This window comes from Homo sapiens, chromosome 3 (assembly GCF_000001405.40).
Source record: "Homo sapiens chromosome 3, GRCh38.p14 Primary Assembly".
NCBI lineage: Eukaryota > Metazoa > Chordata > Mammalia > Primates > Hominidae > Homo > Homo sapiens.
The window spans coordinates 86,784,945-86,801,006 of NC_000003.12; positions in this window are offsets into that span (position 1 = coordinate 86,784,945).

Here is a 16,062-nt window from a genome sequence, read left to right on the forward strand (position 1 = left end):
AAACCATGTGCCACAGATTGATAAAATTTAATGATTACACAGAGTAAGGAGGTATAGAATTATAAAATTATAAAACATTTCATTTTGTGTTTTACCCATTCACTTATGCATTCAATTACAATATACTGAGTAATTTCTATGCTCCTAAAATAAGCCTTTTGTACAGTGGCTTCTAGAGTTTACATCAGAAAAATATGTATGTCTCTTACCTAAAAGGAAAATTAAAATTGAACTCCATTAAATGTGACAATGTCTGCATCTACTCATATATTCATGTTATAAAATTTATAAAATATTAGAACTTAAAGGAACTGATGAATTGCTGCTATCACCCTCATAATTGATTTTTGTATAGAATGAAAGTGGGACATAGGAAGTTAAACAACTTGTACAAGGTTACACTGCACATTAAAAGCTGTGAAAAGAACCATGGTATAGGATTCCAGATCTAGTATCCTTTCAATGACTGGAATATGTCATAGCAGTAATGAGACTGATTTTTCTATGGATAAATTAGAATATTTTGATATGGTGAAATGTTACCTTATATAACAAAAAAAAATGCTCATATAACTTGCCTTTAGACTACGACTTTTCTGGTATGCTTACACTGTGTTTGTTTCACCAATAGATGGCAAACTTAACTGCTTATATTATAGTTTTATGATTTAACAGTCTGGTCAGCTACACAGAAATCCTCCATTTATTGGGACTTTAAGAATATGCTACTATTTTAAGCAAGCTGTGCTTTATAAAGGGAATATGTAAGTTTCTTTGCTGGTTGTTTAAAAAACTCAGTCACCTGTCAATACAGCAATATATTGTAAGTCAAATCAATACTTATGCCAATCAGGAAATAATTTTTTTCTAAATATGTTCTACCCGAGTCTTCTATAGTCCTTTAATAGATAAAATGTTATATAACAGTATACACAATCCAGTTTTACATATTTAAACTTTCATGACACTTTTTCATATTACTGCTAGTTTTATCTCTGGGCCTACCTTCATATTATTCTGCTATACATATTTAGACCAAAGAATAAACTGTTAATAAGTGATTTAATGTACACGTCAAAGTAAGATGTGTTCTAATCTGCTTTCTCAACTTCCTTGATAAACTAAATTGACTGTATTATATAGATATTTTTAGCTTCCTGAACACTATTTTAAAGTGTCCATTTAGGAGAACTTTATGTTCTAGACTGAAATGATTCTAATTTTTTAAACTCCACTGCTTGAACTTTTGTTATAAATTAGAAAACAAACACTAGATTATTTCTGAGAAATAGTCTAATTTTGTTACATCCACCGAGCAGTTGGAATCGTCCATAGATGTGTGTACGCGCGAATATTTCTCAGATTTTATCAGTATTCTTTCAGGCCTTCTGATATCACATGCAGAGTCACTCCCCATTAATAGCTCATGTGGATTGTTCTGTGGTGTGATAAACAGAGAGAAGTTATTTATCTCCAAAAGCTAAGTTATTAGCCCACAGTTTCCAGAAAAGACGAAGACAGTGCCTTATTAAAGTATAAAGAATCCCTCACTTTTTAACCTTTTAAGTGAAAATGCATAACAACACTCTCCATTGATCATCGCCGTTAGTACTTGGCTCACTGATTTCTTCATTGCTATTTCAGTCATCATTGGTGGAAATTCAACACGGATCCATCTAAAATCTTTGACCTGCTCCACTCCTGGATCTTGTCTTCATCTCTTTAATTCCCATGTCAAAAATCTGCATTTTATTTTTATTTTATTTATTTATATTTTTGAGACAGTGTCTCGCTCTGTTTCCCAGGCTGGAGTATAGTGGCACCATAAGGCTCACTGCAGCCTCAACCTCCTGGGCTCAAGTGATCCTCCTGTCTCAGCCTCCTGAGTAGCTGGGACTATAGGTATGCCACCACACTCAGCTAATTTTTGTTTTTATTTTTAGTAATGATATGGCCTCGCTATGTTGCCCAGGCTAACCTTGAACTCCTGGCCTCAAGCCATCATCCCCACTTGGCCTCCCAGAGTGCTGGGATTATAGGTATGAGACACTACACCCAGCCAAAAATCTGCATTTTAAACATCCCACTTTACTTTCACATTCTAACTTTCTTATTTACTTACTGAAGTAATTCCATTCCAGCTACCTTTCAATCTTTCACAGGCCTCCAATAATTGACTCTATGTTTTTCCTCTCCAAATCCATTTTTACCTTTGCCTTCCTACACACCCTGTCCTCACAGCCCTCCTCATGCACCCAAGATTCCTTAGATTCCTTGGTGACTATGCAGCACCGCAGCACTATAGCCAACGTCTTTCTAAGGCCTTGGTCTTTTTTGTCCTCTTCACCCACTGACCTAGTTGCTGGCAAAACCCCAACAATTGTTAAATCCAACCATTTATCCACCAGTCTCAGCAGCTATCTATGAATGAAGAAAAAATCCTTCCATTGTGTGAACTGATCTCACTTTATATTTACAAATCACAAGTGGGCATTCAGCACACATAGAGATTTCAGCACATATCTCCAAGCACTTAAATTACCATTTCCATACTGTTTTTCTCTTTCCAAACACACCACACCCCCTTACTCTACCCTGAAGATGGTAAATCAAATGTTATTGAAAATATTTATCGTAAGAATTGATCTTATCTTTCCAAAACCAATTCACTCATGTATCTGTATCTGTACCTAGATAGTCTTGTCTATCTGTATCTGTACCTGGATAGTCTTGTCTTTCCTCCTGTTACATAGAGATGTCTGCTGTTATCTAAGACCAACTTCTTCATATGTGGTTTGAAGAACCTCATTGACTCTCATTTATTGATTGTCCTTGCTCTACAGTTAGGTCCCCTCTCTCTCCATCATTAAGATTTTCTTACCTCTAAATCATTCCCAACAGTAAAGCAAACAAACAACAAAAATGTTTCAATATCATTCTATATTTTTAAAAATGGCCTCATAGGGCTCACCAGCCAACAGCTTCTATTCATTTTCTCTATTCTCTTTCTCATTAAAACACCTTAGAAGAATTTTCTGTAGTAATTGAACCTACTCTTGTACTTAAGTCCTCTTCTCAACCCATCCAAAATGGTTGTCAATGCACCTCTCAATTTCACTGAAATTGTTCCTTCAAATGTCGAGCGATCTCCACTCTGTTGTCCATTCCTTCCTTCTCAGTAGACCGTCTCTCTCAGCTGTTGTAACACCACACTCTTTGGAATGTCTTTTTAAACTCACTGGCCATTTCTTTTCATGATTTTTTGCTGGTTTTCAATGCTGGATTTCTCTAGGCTTCCTTTAAGCCCTCTTTTTTCTTTCCAAGCCACAATTTCTCTTTATGTAACCTTTTCCAGGCCTATGGCTTGGACCAACCTTGCATCTTATCTCCAGCTCCACCTTCTCTTTTGATCTCCATATTTATACATCCTATCCACCACTTTGTATCTCTGCAGGTGTATTTAATATAAAAACTTTAAATATATTTCAAACAGAATGTTTAGTCATCTTTCTACAAGCCAAAGCTAATTCTCTATTTTTTCTTTTTTTTCCAGACAGGTTCTCACTCTGTCTCACTCTGTCATCCAGACTGGAGGTCAGTAGCATGATCTCAGCTTACCACAACCTCCACCTCCCAGGCTCAAGCAATTGTCCTGGGAACCTCCCTCCAGTAGCTGGGATTACAGGGGCATGCCTCTACCATCCAGCTGATTTTTGTATTTTTAGTAGAGACACGGTTTCACCATGTTGGCCAGGCTGGTCTTAAACTCCTGACCTCAAATGATCCACTCACCTCGGCCTCCCAAAGTGCTGGGATTACAGTCATGAGCCATTGCGCCCAGCCCTCTCTTTATTTCAACATTTAAGAATTATGCTTTCTTGCTTTATTTTCCCTGGAGTCTATGCGCAACATGTCATCACTTTCATTGACCTTATCACCACCATACATCTAGAATCTTTTCACTCTCCGAAGTCATTATAGCTGAATCTCTAACCTAAGCCATCATTGCTCACCTGGCTTAAAGAGTGGACAAAACAAACTTAAAAGCTTAAATCATAACATTTTTTTCCCTAGCTCAACACTCCTCTAATTGTTCCCCTGAAAGTGAAAGGCCATGTAAGACCTGCATCCTGATTTCCTCTCCATCCTCAATTCCCAACACTCCTTCTTTTTTTCTTTATGCTTTAGCCAAAATAATCTTTCTCCCATCACTTATATATGTCAAAATTATTCCTATCTTGGAAACTCCGGACTGTTTCTGGAATTTATTTTCTTTCAATATTTTAAATGTCTTCTTATCACATAGGTTCAGCTTAAATGTCTTCAGGGTTCTTAACAACTACCATAGCTAGTCACCCTCCATAAAGTTTCTGTTTCAACCCAAAAATACTAGCTATTGGTTTATACATTTCTTGACTGTCTCCCCTGGAATGCAAGCTTCATGAGGCCAGTGACTTTGTGTCACTTGTTCACCAACACATCCAGAATACCTAGAGCAATCATTCTCAGGTGGTAGGGCCTCAAACATATAGATAAAAAATTAGAGGTAGGTTTGGAACATGAGCACTTCACCGTACATCAAATTATTTTCATGAATAGTTTTAATTGCAGTTATTCAGTCTTATGGAAATCACAGTTTTCTTAAAAATTTTAAGATAACAATATAACTTGCTATGTCTGCCATAATAACGTACCTAAGATCGTGTGACTTAAACAGCAGGCATTTGTTTTTCCACAGTTCTGGAAGACAAAAGTCTAATATCAAATGTTGGCAGGATTGGTTTATTTTGAGGCTTCACTTGTTGGTTTGCAAATGGTTTGCACCTTCTCCCTGTGTCTTCATAGCAACTTTTCTCTGGACATGGCTGTATCCAATTTTCTTCTTCTTTTAAGAACACCAATTATATTAGATTAAGACCCATCTTAATGACCCCATCTTAACTGAATTGTGTCTTTAAAGATTCTATTTCCAAATATAGTCACATTCTGATACATTGGAGGTTAGAACTTCAACATCTAAATTTTAAGTGAGGGAGGACACATTTCAGTTCATAAGAGATACCTATTGAGGAAGAGTCAAATTTGCATTCTAATCTAGTTTTCCCAATTTTTAAGACCTTGTGGAAATTACTTAGCCACAATAAATCTCTTTCTTCATCAATAAAATGTTAACAGTCATAAAGCAACTTTAAAGGATTATTGTGAACAGTAAAAGAAAAACATATATATATATATGTGTGTGTGTGTGTGTGTGTGTATTTTTTTTTTTTTTTGAGATGGAGTCTTGCTCTGTCACCCATGCTGGAGTGCAGTGGTGCAATCTCGGCTCACTGCAAGCTCTGCCTCCCAGGTTCATGCCATCCTCCTGCTTCAGCCTCCCTAGTAGCTGGGACTACAGGTGCTCGCCACCACACCTGGCTAATTTTTTGTATTTTTAGAAGACACAGGGTTTTGCTGTGCTAGCCAGGATGGTCTCGATCTCCTGACCTCGTGATCCATCTGCCTCAGCCTCCTAAAGTGCATATATATATTTTTTGAGACAAATTCTCACTCTGCTGCCCAGGCTGGAGTGCAGTGGTGCAAACACGGCTCCCTGCAGCATTGATTTCCTGGGCTCAAGTGATCTTCCTGCCTCAGCCTCCCATGTAACTGGGAACACAGGTGAACGCCACTCTGCTCGGCTAATATTTTTATATTTGTTTTTTATATAGACGAGGTCTCACCATGTTGCCCAGGCTGGTCTCAAACACCTGCGCTCAAGTGATCCTCCTATCCCAGCCTCCCAAAGTGCTGGGATTACAGGCATGAGCCAACATGCCTGGCCAAGAAAAAATTAATAGATGATAATATGTGTTTGTCACACAGTAGGTAATCATTTTATGTTAGAAATTACTGTTGTTTCCATTTCTTTGTCTTTTCTGGGATGTATTATTATTTTTTCTATTGTGCTGTGTGTGCGTGTGTGTGTTTCTTTTTTATTATCATCTCTCTTTCAAGCTAAACTGACTCCATATGTAGAATGAAGTATGTAGAATGAAGGTAGAGTAAGCAGAATAATTAATTATACGGAGCATGTGCTCAATGTGCAACCACTCTGTACTGAACATCAGGAGCCCTGCTCACATGCTGCAAAATCCCTCCGGGTCACAATATTCATTTTGTCAGTAAAGCTTATGCCTGTTTTGAATTGGCAGTCATGCATGGGGAGTGAGCAACAGTGAATTATCCTTGAGCACCTTTTATGTTTTCTTCAATCTGGGTGATGTTAGATATGTACAAAATATGGTATCTGACCCTAAAGAGTAAATAATTCAATTTAGAGGTCTGCAAGCTTTTACTTTTTTATGTAAAGGACCAGAGAGTAAATATTTGAGGCTTTGCAGCCCATATGATCTCTGTGGCAATGATTCAACTCTGCTGTTGTAGTGCGAAAGCAGTCATGGACAATACATAAATAAATGAGCATGGCTGTGCTCCAATGAATATCTATTTATGGACACTGAAATTTGAATTTCATATAATTTTCACATGCCATGAAATATTATTCTACTTTTGATTGTTTTCAACAACTCAAAGTTACTTTGTAGTCTGTGGGCCTACAAAAATAGATAACAGACTACATTTGGCCTGTGGTCCATAAGTTATCAACCTCCGACCTAGCTTAAAAAGTGAGAAAATACTTTGGAAATGTATTGTGACTAAGACATGAAATTTATTGCTATGTTTTGTGGTATGGACTTTACTTAATTTCGGTGATCTAAGGTTATTAATATTAATATTAATTCTCTTTTAAGCATGTCACAATGGGGTTTGATAGATCCCTCTACTTTCTACCCCTATCCCTCAGATGATAACTATATAGATAGCTATTATTGTCTTCTAGATTGTTATTGTGTTGTTCGTATGAGCCCAGTCTCTAACCTCCAGCTTAAACAATTGGGCTTTTTGTACCCTATAAGAATCTATAAAGAGGCAATTCTCAGAGTCAATTCCTTTCTGGCAATTATTCAAGGATCTTAAGTAATAGTTATTTCTTGTCCCATAGGGGAGCAACTGAGTGTTAAAACCTAGATAGAGGCCGGGTGCGGTGGCTCACACCTGTAATCCCAGCACTTTGGGAGGCCGAGGCAGGCGGATCACGAGGTCAAGAGATTGAGACCATCCTGGCCAACATGGTGAAACCCCATCTCTACTAAAACTACAAAAATTAGCCGTGCGTGGTGGCGGGCGCCTGTAGTCCCAGCTACTCGGGAGGCTGAGGCAGGAGAATCGCTTGAACTGGAGAGGCAGAAGTGGTACTGAGCCGAGATGGCGCCACTGCCCTCCAGCCTGGCAACCAGAGCGAGACTCCGTCTCAAAAAAAAAAAAAAAAAAAAGTAAAACCATTCAGAATCATTGCAGGTCAGTGTTAAAGATGATGTGAAAAATTAAAACAACAACAACAACAACAAAAACCTAGATAGAAAGAGAAGTGTATGGAACATTGTTCTAAGCACTAAAGAAGTACAATTCACAGCCCACAGCCCATCTGGTAGGCTAGTTGCCAATAAATCTCTATGGGTAACTGCAATTCTGGAAGACATCCACAGCCTTCTAGATACCTTACTACTTTCATTCATCTGACTTGCCAAGACTTTGCAATGCCAATGTTTAGATGTATGATATCATGAGAAGTAGTATAGGTGTTTGGACAAGTGGTACAAGTTATCATGAAAGAAAACAATTAAATCTAACTGGGATCACTTCTAGTGGAAAGGGTACCTGGGTAAAAGGAATGTCCCAGTAAGGCGGAGGTTGCAGTGAGCTGAGATCGTGCCACTGCACTCCAGCCTGGGTGACAGAGCGAGACTCCGTCTCAAAAAAATAAATAAATAAATAAATAAATAAATAGGAAAAAAATAAAAAGGAATGCCCCAGTGCCCCAGTAGATATGAAATAATTTAGAGGTTCCCCACATCCATTTTATTTTTCAAGCCCAAAAATGCTTTAAAATAAGCTGGCAAAACATGTGTTTGCCTTTTACTTATGAAAATCAGTGTTCATTCACCGTTATAAACTAAAGTTTACCTGTTACAGTATGAAAAGCCCTCTTTTTGACATTATCAATTTTAAATTATAGAGACTAAGAAGCATTAATTCATTCTCTAGATTGAGACATTTTTCTCATGTTTCCTTTTCCTGTGAAATGAATGCCCGCAAAATTCACTGCCCTAATTTATAATGCTATACAAAGGTTATATCTCATCTATGATGTTTAACTGTAAGCTACAATTCTAGAAGGTAAACATCAGTTCAATAAATAAATGACTATTTGAGGTGTACGTATATAATTGGAATATTTGTTGAACATCGGGTGGGTAAACTAATTATTTTTAACCACACATGCCACACAGCAAATGGTGTTATTTAATATTTGTTCCTTTTAATTAGTTTTGTATGCTTTTTAAAATTGTTATGCTTAATTTTGCAATCTAATACAAATCTTTTTTGAAAATAAACAGAGGTATAACAATATAACTAAGAACATAAATTTAATTTTGTACTTCTATACCATTCACCTCTAATGCCAGATATGAGTATGTGGAACAAGAATATGCCTCATAACAGTGGTAATGTGATCAGTCCAAAAGCCAAAGTCAAAATGCACATACATTTTCTATTTAATAGGTTTGAAGGCAAAAATCTTTTTCTTCCCAAATGGCTTGTATTTGAATTTAGTCTTTTTTTTTTAATTCCCTTAATATAATTGCCTTCGCACACAGCACAATGGCTAATGCCATCACTTATTTTACATTTGTTTTGCTTCCTGTGTTGAATGGACAATCAGTGTTTACGGATTAGCAGCAGTTGTAGTCTTCTGACTTTTATTCTTTCAAACTCTTTCAAACTGGCGAATGAGCAGCACTTTATGTTTGTTGCTCTGGCATTCCTGGAGTAGCTAGGACATTCACAGTGTAAACCACTGTTATTCATACTATAATAATTCCTTTGCAGTTAAGTCATTACTAGTGATCATAGCAGGCTTGTAGTACAATGCCTTATTTGGGAATGTCATGTGAGATGCCCACAGCAATACAAAAAATAAAGGCCAACTTGTCTGGCTGAGGAGGGATTTATCACTAGCCCTCTGGCAGAGGAGTCTTTTGGGAAGTATTATGTGCTCCTGTGGGGTGGATTATATGATCTGAAATGGAGCAGGTGCTCTGAGCCTCAAAGTAAAGGTGCTATGAAAACCCAGCCACATGCCATTTCTTTTATAATTTATCAAAATTCCAATTGTATTTTCTCTATGCACAAAGCTTTAGCAGAAATTATTTTTCTAATTAAAATATTGACCAATGTGAGCATAAATAAGCAAAAAACACAAAGAAACTGTGGAAATTTCTCTAGACCCCTCTCCCTACTTACCTTCCTGCTTAAAAGCAAACTCAAAAGGCAAATTCACTTTTTCAACTACAAATCTTGTTCTCAGTGTCTGTAACTTGCTGTGAGAGCATTCCTTTTCAAACAGCTGTTTCAAAGGAGACGTAGGATGAGGGCTTTTCATTGTCAATCCCAAGGGCCTCAAGACTTTAATATAGGCTGCCCTAGTGATGAATTTAACACCTTTTCTACTCCAGGCCTAAGCCCCATCTTAAGAGAGAATTTGGAATTTTTAAAGAAGTGGCTCCAAATAAAGAAAAGCAGCAGAGGGAAAGAGAGCAAAAGTGAAAGTTCCAGAACTATCTCATGAACGACCTCAAGTCACTTTTCCCTGTGTGTTTATGTGTGCATGCCTTTACTATTTTAATTAAAAGGAAATAATAATACCCTATCCAGTGAGTGCTAAGAGAAGAAATTATTATTCAGAACCAAAATTTGTATAGCATTGTACTGCTTACAAATCTAACATCTGTATATTTGACCCTCACACACACATGATGAGATGTGGTAAGAATGGACGTAAGTGAGAAAACAAAGCATAACAGAGATTAAGTGAATAAGCTAAGATCACATTATATATACATGCTAGTTTTTTCTTTAACTAAATAGCCAGTGTTCCTTTCAATACACCTAATATGCATTATCAAATTTTTAAGTTATTTCAAAAGAAAAAAGGCTTAAATACAAACTAAAAGCTCTTTCTAGTGCAAAATAATGTTTTTTGAATTTTCTTAGTTGCAAGAACTGGCAAAAATATTTATAACATCCTCCAAACTGCTTGCTCTAGAGAACAAACTAGAAAATTCTACAGGCTTTCTGAGGAACTCAAGAAAAAAACAAGGTTATTTTCCCACCCTGTGGAGTTGCCAGATTTTTGATTCAGATAATTTTTAAACTTCTGAATAAGCATGAAAATAAAGATCCAATTAATAATGTTGACAAGAATTGGAGTGATGGTACCAACCACAGTCACTCAGACCTGCGGTGCTAATATGCCATAATCTTGTGCTACATTTCTGCTCTGTAGTATATGCCCTCCAAAGATGTCTATATCCTAATCTCTGAAACCTGTAAATATTCTACCTTATAAAGCAAAAAGGAATTTGCTGATGCATCTAAGGTAAAGACCCAAAGGTGAGAACCTCATCTCAAATTATTCTGTTCGGCCAAATCTGAGTTCTTAAAAGCAGAGGACCTTTCCCTGCTGGGTCAGAGATAGAGATTCAACAATTGAAGAAGGGTCAGAAAGATGTGAAGTTTGTGGCTTTTACGATGGAAGAAGAGGCCTAAGAGCCAAAAAATGAGTGAGGGCGGGCTTTAGAAGCTACAAAAGATAAGGAACTGTATTATCCTTTAGAGACTAGAAAGAAGGCAGCCCTGTGGACATCTTGAGTTTAGCACAGTGAGACCTGTGTCAGACTTTGAACTATAAAACTACAAGATAATCAACTTGTGTTGTTCTAAGCAATGATATTTGTGGTAGTTTGCTATAACAAAAATTAAAGAAATAAAATAAAAAAATAAATAAACTAATATATGCTTTCTATTTTTTTAAATCTCAGACCCTACTGGTTTGAAAATCTTTAATGTTGTAAGTTGTATCTTGTTATTTTGAGCAGAATTCAGACATTGATTCAGAAACATAATATGGAAAGTACACATGTATATAAATTATAAGCAGATTATAAACACTTATCATTGATTCAACCTGAGTTTATTACCATAATTGCTTATTTTACCCGAATTTTTATACTATCCTATGATGAAGTTGTGATTCCATAGGTGATTTTTATATCATGTCGACTCCGGGAATGGAAAGATTTGATTGAATAAATGTTATATTCATTTGATGACTAACATTTTGTTTGGCAATTAATATTTCTTTTCACGGAATTGGATGAATATATTTTTTAAACAAGCAATGATTTTGACATTAAACATATTGCTTCTATAGAAGTGCCAAAATTGGGGCCGGGCACGGTGGATCATCCCTGTTATCCCAGCATTTTGGGAGGCCGAGGCGGGCGGATCACGAGGCCAGGAGATCCAGACCATCCTGGCTAACACGGTGAAACCCCATCTCTACTAAGAATACAAAAAATTAGCCGGAGAGTGGTGGCGAGCCCCTGTAGTCCCAGCTACTCAGGAGGCTGAGGCAGGAGAATGGCGTGAACCTGGGAGGCGGAGCTTGCAATGAGCCGAGATGGCTCCACTGCACTCCAGCCTGGGTGACAGAGCGAGACTCTGTCTCAAAAAAAAAAAAAAAGAAGAAGTGCCAAAATTGAGCATCATTCATAGTAACATGATAGAAAGATGTGTGGAATAGTATGGTTTGTTGGTCACTGTATTTGAATTAAGTATGGCTTCTGTAATATAATGGACTTCTGTTTTGAAATTCTTGAAAAGCCTCTCATGTGAGGATTTTAATAAAGAAGATGTACCTGTTATTTGGCTTTTCTGTGTTACTTTTTGACAAACTTGCATAACACTGAGAATAACATTGAAAATCGTTGATGAAATGAGAAGTTGCTGTTACATTCGTAGTTAATGTTGTGTATCATGTTTATGGTGAATTTTCTGTCTTCACATATGCTTGATTTGGCTGGCTCAATGGTTACATGTCATTCTTGATCCATTTCAGTCCTGCTTTAAGACAATAATGAAGTCTTTATTTTACATGTCACATTTTCAGCAATATATACAAACACATGAAAGGATTTGTTCCGGAACATTGAAATATTACCAATATTCCTCTCACTTACTCCTTACACTGATGAAATTCACAAAACATGTGACACAACTAACTGCTCCTGGCAAATATATATATGTTTAAGAAAACTATTGCTTAATTTTTTTTTAATACTGGAATTACTATGGCATGGTCTATAACCTCAATTTAGAGTTCAAGTTACTCCATGGACTCACTTGCCTTTCGTGTTTCAACAAGTTATTTTTTTTTAATTTTATCTGAAGTGTCCATAATTTGGGGAATTATTTTATAGTAACTAAATTCATAAAACTCATTTGTAAATTAGAATGTCAATAAATTAATGCACACTGAGAAATGTGTTACCTTATAATCTGAAACAATGAAATTGACTAGTTGAAGGTTTCTCACCTCTGAAGTAAGGGATGGTTGAGAGAGAAATCTAATCCATATGAGAAGCCTGTTTTAGCTAACCAGTTTATTCTTCTGCACTGACAATGTCTTTTGAGATTTTTCTGGTGTAATCTCCCACATTGAGATAATGACTACTATGGCCAAAGATGTCAAACCCAGAGTATCTAGGAAGGACAATGTAAACAATGTTGGCATTAAATATTTCTGGTGCCTGACTTTTTACAAATAACCAAGTGAATAATCCATTCAGAGTTAATCAAGAGTTGAATGAAAATGAACTATTATAAGAACTTGACATTGAAACAGATTTAAATAACTTCTAATGGGCAATTCACTGAGCAAAGCATAGATTATGGAATATAATAATATAATCTTTTAAATATTCTTTAAAAATATTTCTGAGATGTAAATATATTAAAATCAAGCCTCGTGATCATGCTGTTGATATTAGTAATTAAAGCATTTATATTTGTATATTGAATTGTCCAAGATCATACAAACTGTTAATCTAAATCTATGTCCAAAGCTCTTCCAATTACACCTAAAATAAAATAAATAAAAATTAAAACTGTTTAATCTTAATACCCAGTATCAGTGCACTAGGATAGGCTGGCATACCTGTCTCCACCTGCCCTAAAGGTGGATTGAAACACTTTCTTGCACAACATGTGAGCTAAGTCTGGTCGGTTGCTTTTTCATGTTCTAGATTTCATGAACATGTATCTATTTAATATATTGCCACACTAACTTTAAATGTAATGTGGTACAACTGATTTGTTTATACCTTACCTCATACAGTTTTATTTTACTCTTGCTAACATGAGATGCTGTAGAAAGTTTAATTTTCTCAATCTATTGTCAGTTATGCCTTCTTGTGATTATAATAGTCTCATGCTCTTATTGCCTCTAAAACACCAATAGGTGATATTTTACTCTTTCCCCATTCCCCTGCTTTTAGTCATAATATTACAACATGCCCCCAACAGCCACAAATATATTTTGAAGCTGTAATTTTTCTATAGCCATATTTCCAAGATAAATATTTTGGAAACATAAAATGATAATATTAAACCACTCACACACACTTGCCATCTTCTGCCAGCACTCATTGGGTTCCCTGAAGTCCCTTGATGGGATTTGTAAAGTGGTCTAGTCCTACCAGCAGCTCTTTTGCAACTATTAGCGTCAGCTAGCTACCATATTGAGAGCTTATTGTGCATAATATTACATATAAAAAACATCACATGTATTTGGTTTATTTTAAAAGGAAAGAACTAAAAGATCTAGAAATATTAATTAGTATGCCAAAGCTACCAAGTAGCAGAGTCAATTTGGACCTCAGGAAGTTCTATCCGCTTGTGGCTTCAAAGTTCACCTCACTTACTCCTGCCCTCCTCCCCTTTAGCACCCCCTACATCCAGCCAGGTGACCTTCATGCCTTAAATGCAACAGGCATTGTCCTGCCTTTTCTAGTCCATTCTTTCTGCCTAGAATGCTCTTTCTTCAGACACTAGGATGGTGAATAGCCTTATCTCCTCCAAATTTTTGTTCAAATAGTCCTTTTCCATGATACTAAATACACACCCTATTTAAATTGCAACTTTGCCCCGTCCCCCACATCCTGGCACTCCCAATACCCTGTTTCTTATTCTTCATTCATAGCTGTTATCACTATATGCTTTTTTACCCACATTGGTCTAATATAGTTTAAGTTCCATAAGGGGAGTTTTCTGTTTTATTCTTTGGAGAGGAATCTGTTTTGGAAGGGAGTTTTCTCTTTTATTCTTGGAGGGGAATCTGTATTGTTTACTTATGTATACCAAATGCCTAAGGCACATAATAGTCACTCAATAAATGTTTGTTGGATGAATGAATACATGAATAATGATCCCTGCCCCCTTTTCTCTATGTTCTTTCTGATATTCTAAAATCCAATGAAAAGTTTTACAACTGTCTTCATAAAGAAATCTTCACATGGATTCGTTTTTTCTCTCACTAATTAGGAAGCATCTAAACACAGTGATGTCACCTATCTTTTTTTCCATACTGAAAATAAGAATGACAATTAGAGTTTCTGCATTAACCTTCTGTGAGCCAGGGTCTTGTGAGTATGTCTTGACATTTTGCGGGGGTTGAAAATGGCTAATTGTGGTTTATATAAAGGGAATTGAAAGAGAATACACTGATGGTACAAACATTACAGAAAACAAATGTGACTACATTATTCCACAGTTGCAGATTGAACCTAACCATAGTCAGTTGCTCACATAAGTGTATGTGAAAATTCAGGAAGAATTCTGCCTGAAGTATTGAAAGAATTCTGCAAAATATTAAAAGAATCTTATAAAAACTTGTGTAGACAGTGTGGGATGGACCTGTACCTCTTCATCACAAATGTGTAAACTCCAAGCTTCTATTTCTCTAAATATAGTAATTATTTTCCATATGAATTGTAGAAATTTAGTGTGATATTATTTGATACAATGTAGGACCTGTATTCCCTGTGATCGCCAAAAGATATGGATTACTTCTCTGCATCCTATTGAGCACTGACTGCTAATAAATCATTTGAGATTTTACGGCCATGTAGAATCACTTAATTCAGGGTGCTGTTAATCAATATGAATATGATTAAATATTTTCTCTAATATGGGTTCATTAATAATTTCTTCAAGATTATTTTCATTCCATAAAAGTGACAGAATTTTACTTCTTATTTTACAACTATAGTAGACATCTGTTACTTATTGGTCACCCGGCTTTAGAAGCATTTCTTAGGATTGAGAAATTCACTCCCCACAGTAGAACTTCAAAGTGTCAACAGTGACATTCCCAGATGCTCTTGCAATAAAGATTCAGGCACGTCATCTAGATTTTTGCCAGTCAGAGTCCTTCATCCCAGACCTTGAAATTAAACCAATAACCAGGAGACTCAGAGTCAACAATGGAATTCTTCTTGATGCTGAGGAGCAGAGGCAGCAAAGACAGCATCTGGTTTTCAAAGGTAGTCGTAGTATCAGGCTTAGCCCTGGAGTCAAGCTGGCAGGGTGGGCAATGTGAATGGCAGTATTCAGAGACAGTGGTAGTGACTGTGGTGTCACTACCAGTTTCTCAATGATGTTCGGTGAATAGCCTTCAAGCTTTGTTCTCTGGCCTTTCCCATGATTTCTAGAGCTACCCCATGCCTTCTCAATAATTTTTCTTAAGTTTCTGTTTCTTTTTCTTAAAAACCTAGTTTCTAATAAATATTAGATTAAATATTAGATTCTAATAAATATTTACTAGAACATAATCATTAACATAAAACAGTGATAAATTCATACTTCCATGTACTAAAATATTTGTAACCTATATTTATGCCACATCCAACATCTTAAATCACTTCTAATTTTACTATTTATTTAATATTTAAACATAACCTAGTAAAATTAAATGAGCAAAGCAATGTACAAATGATGTAATCTGTAATTATCAGTCTTATTGTTGTCACCAATATAATTGTGGAGCAAGTTACAGTC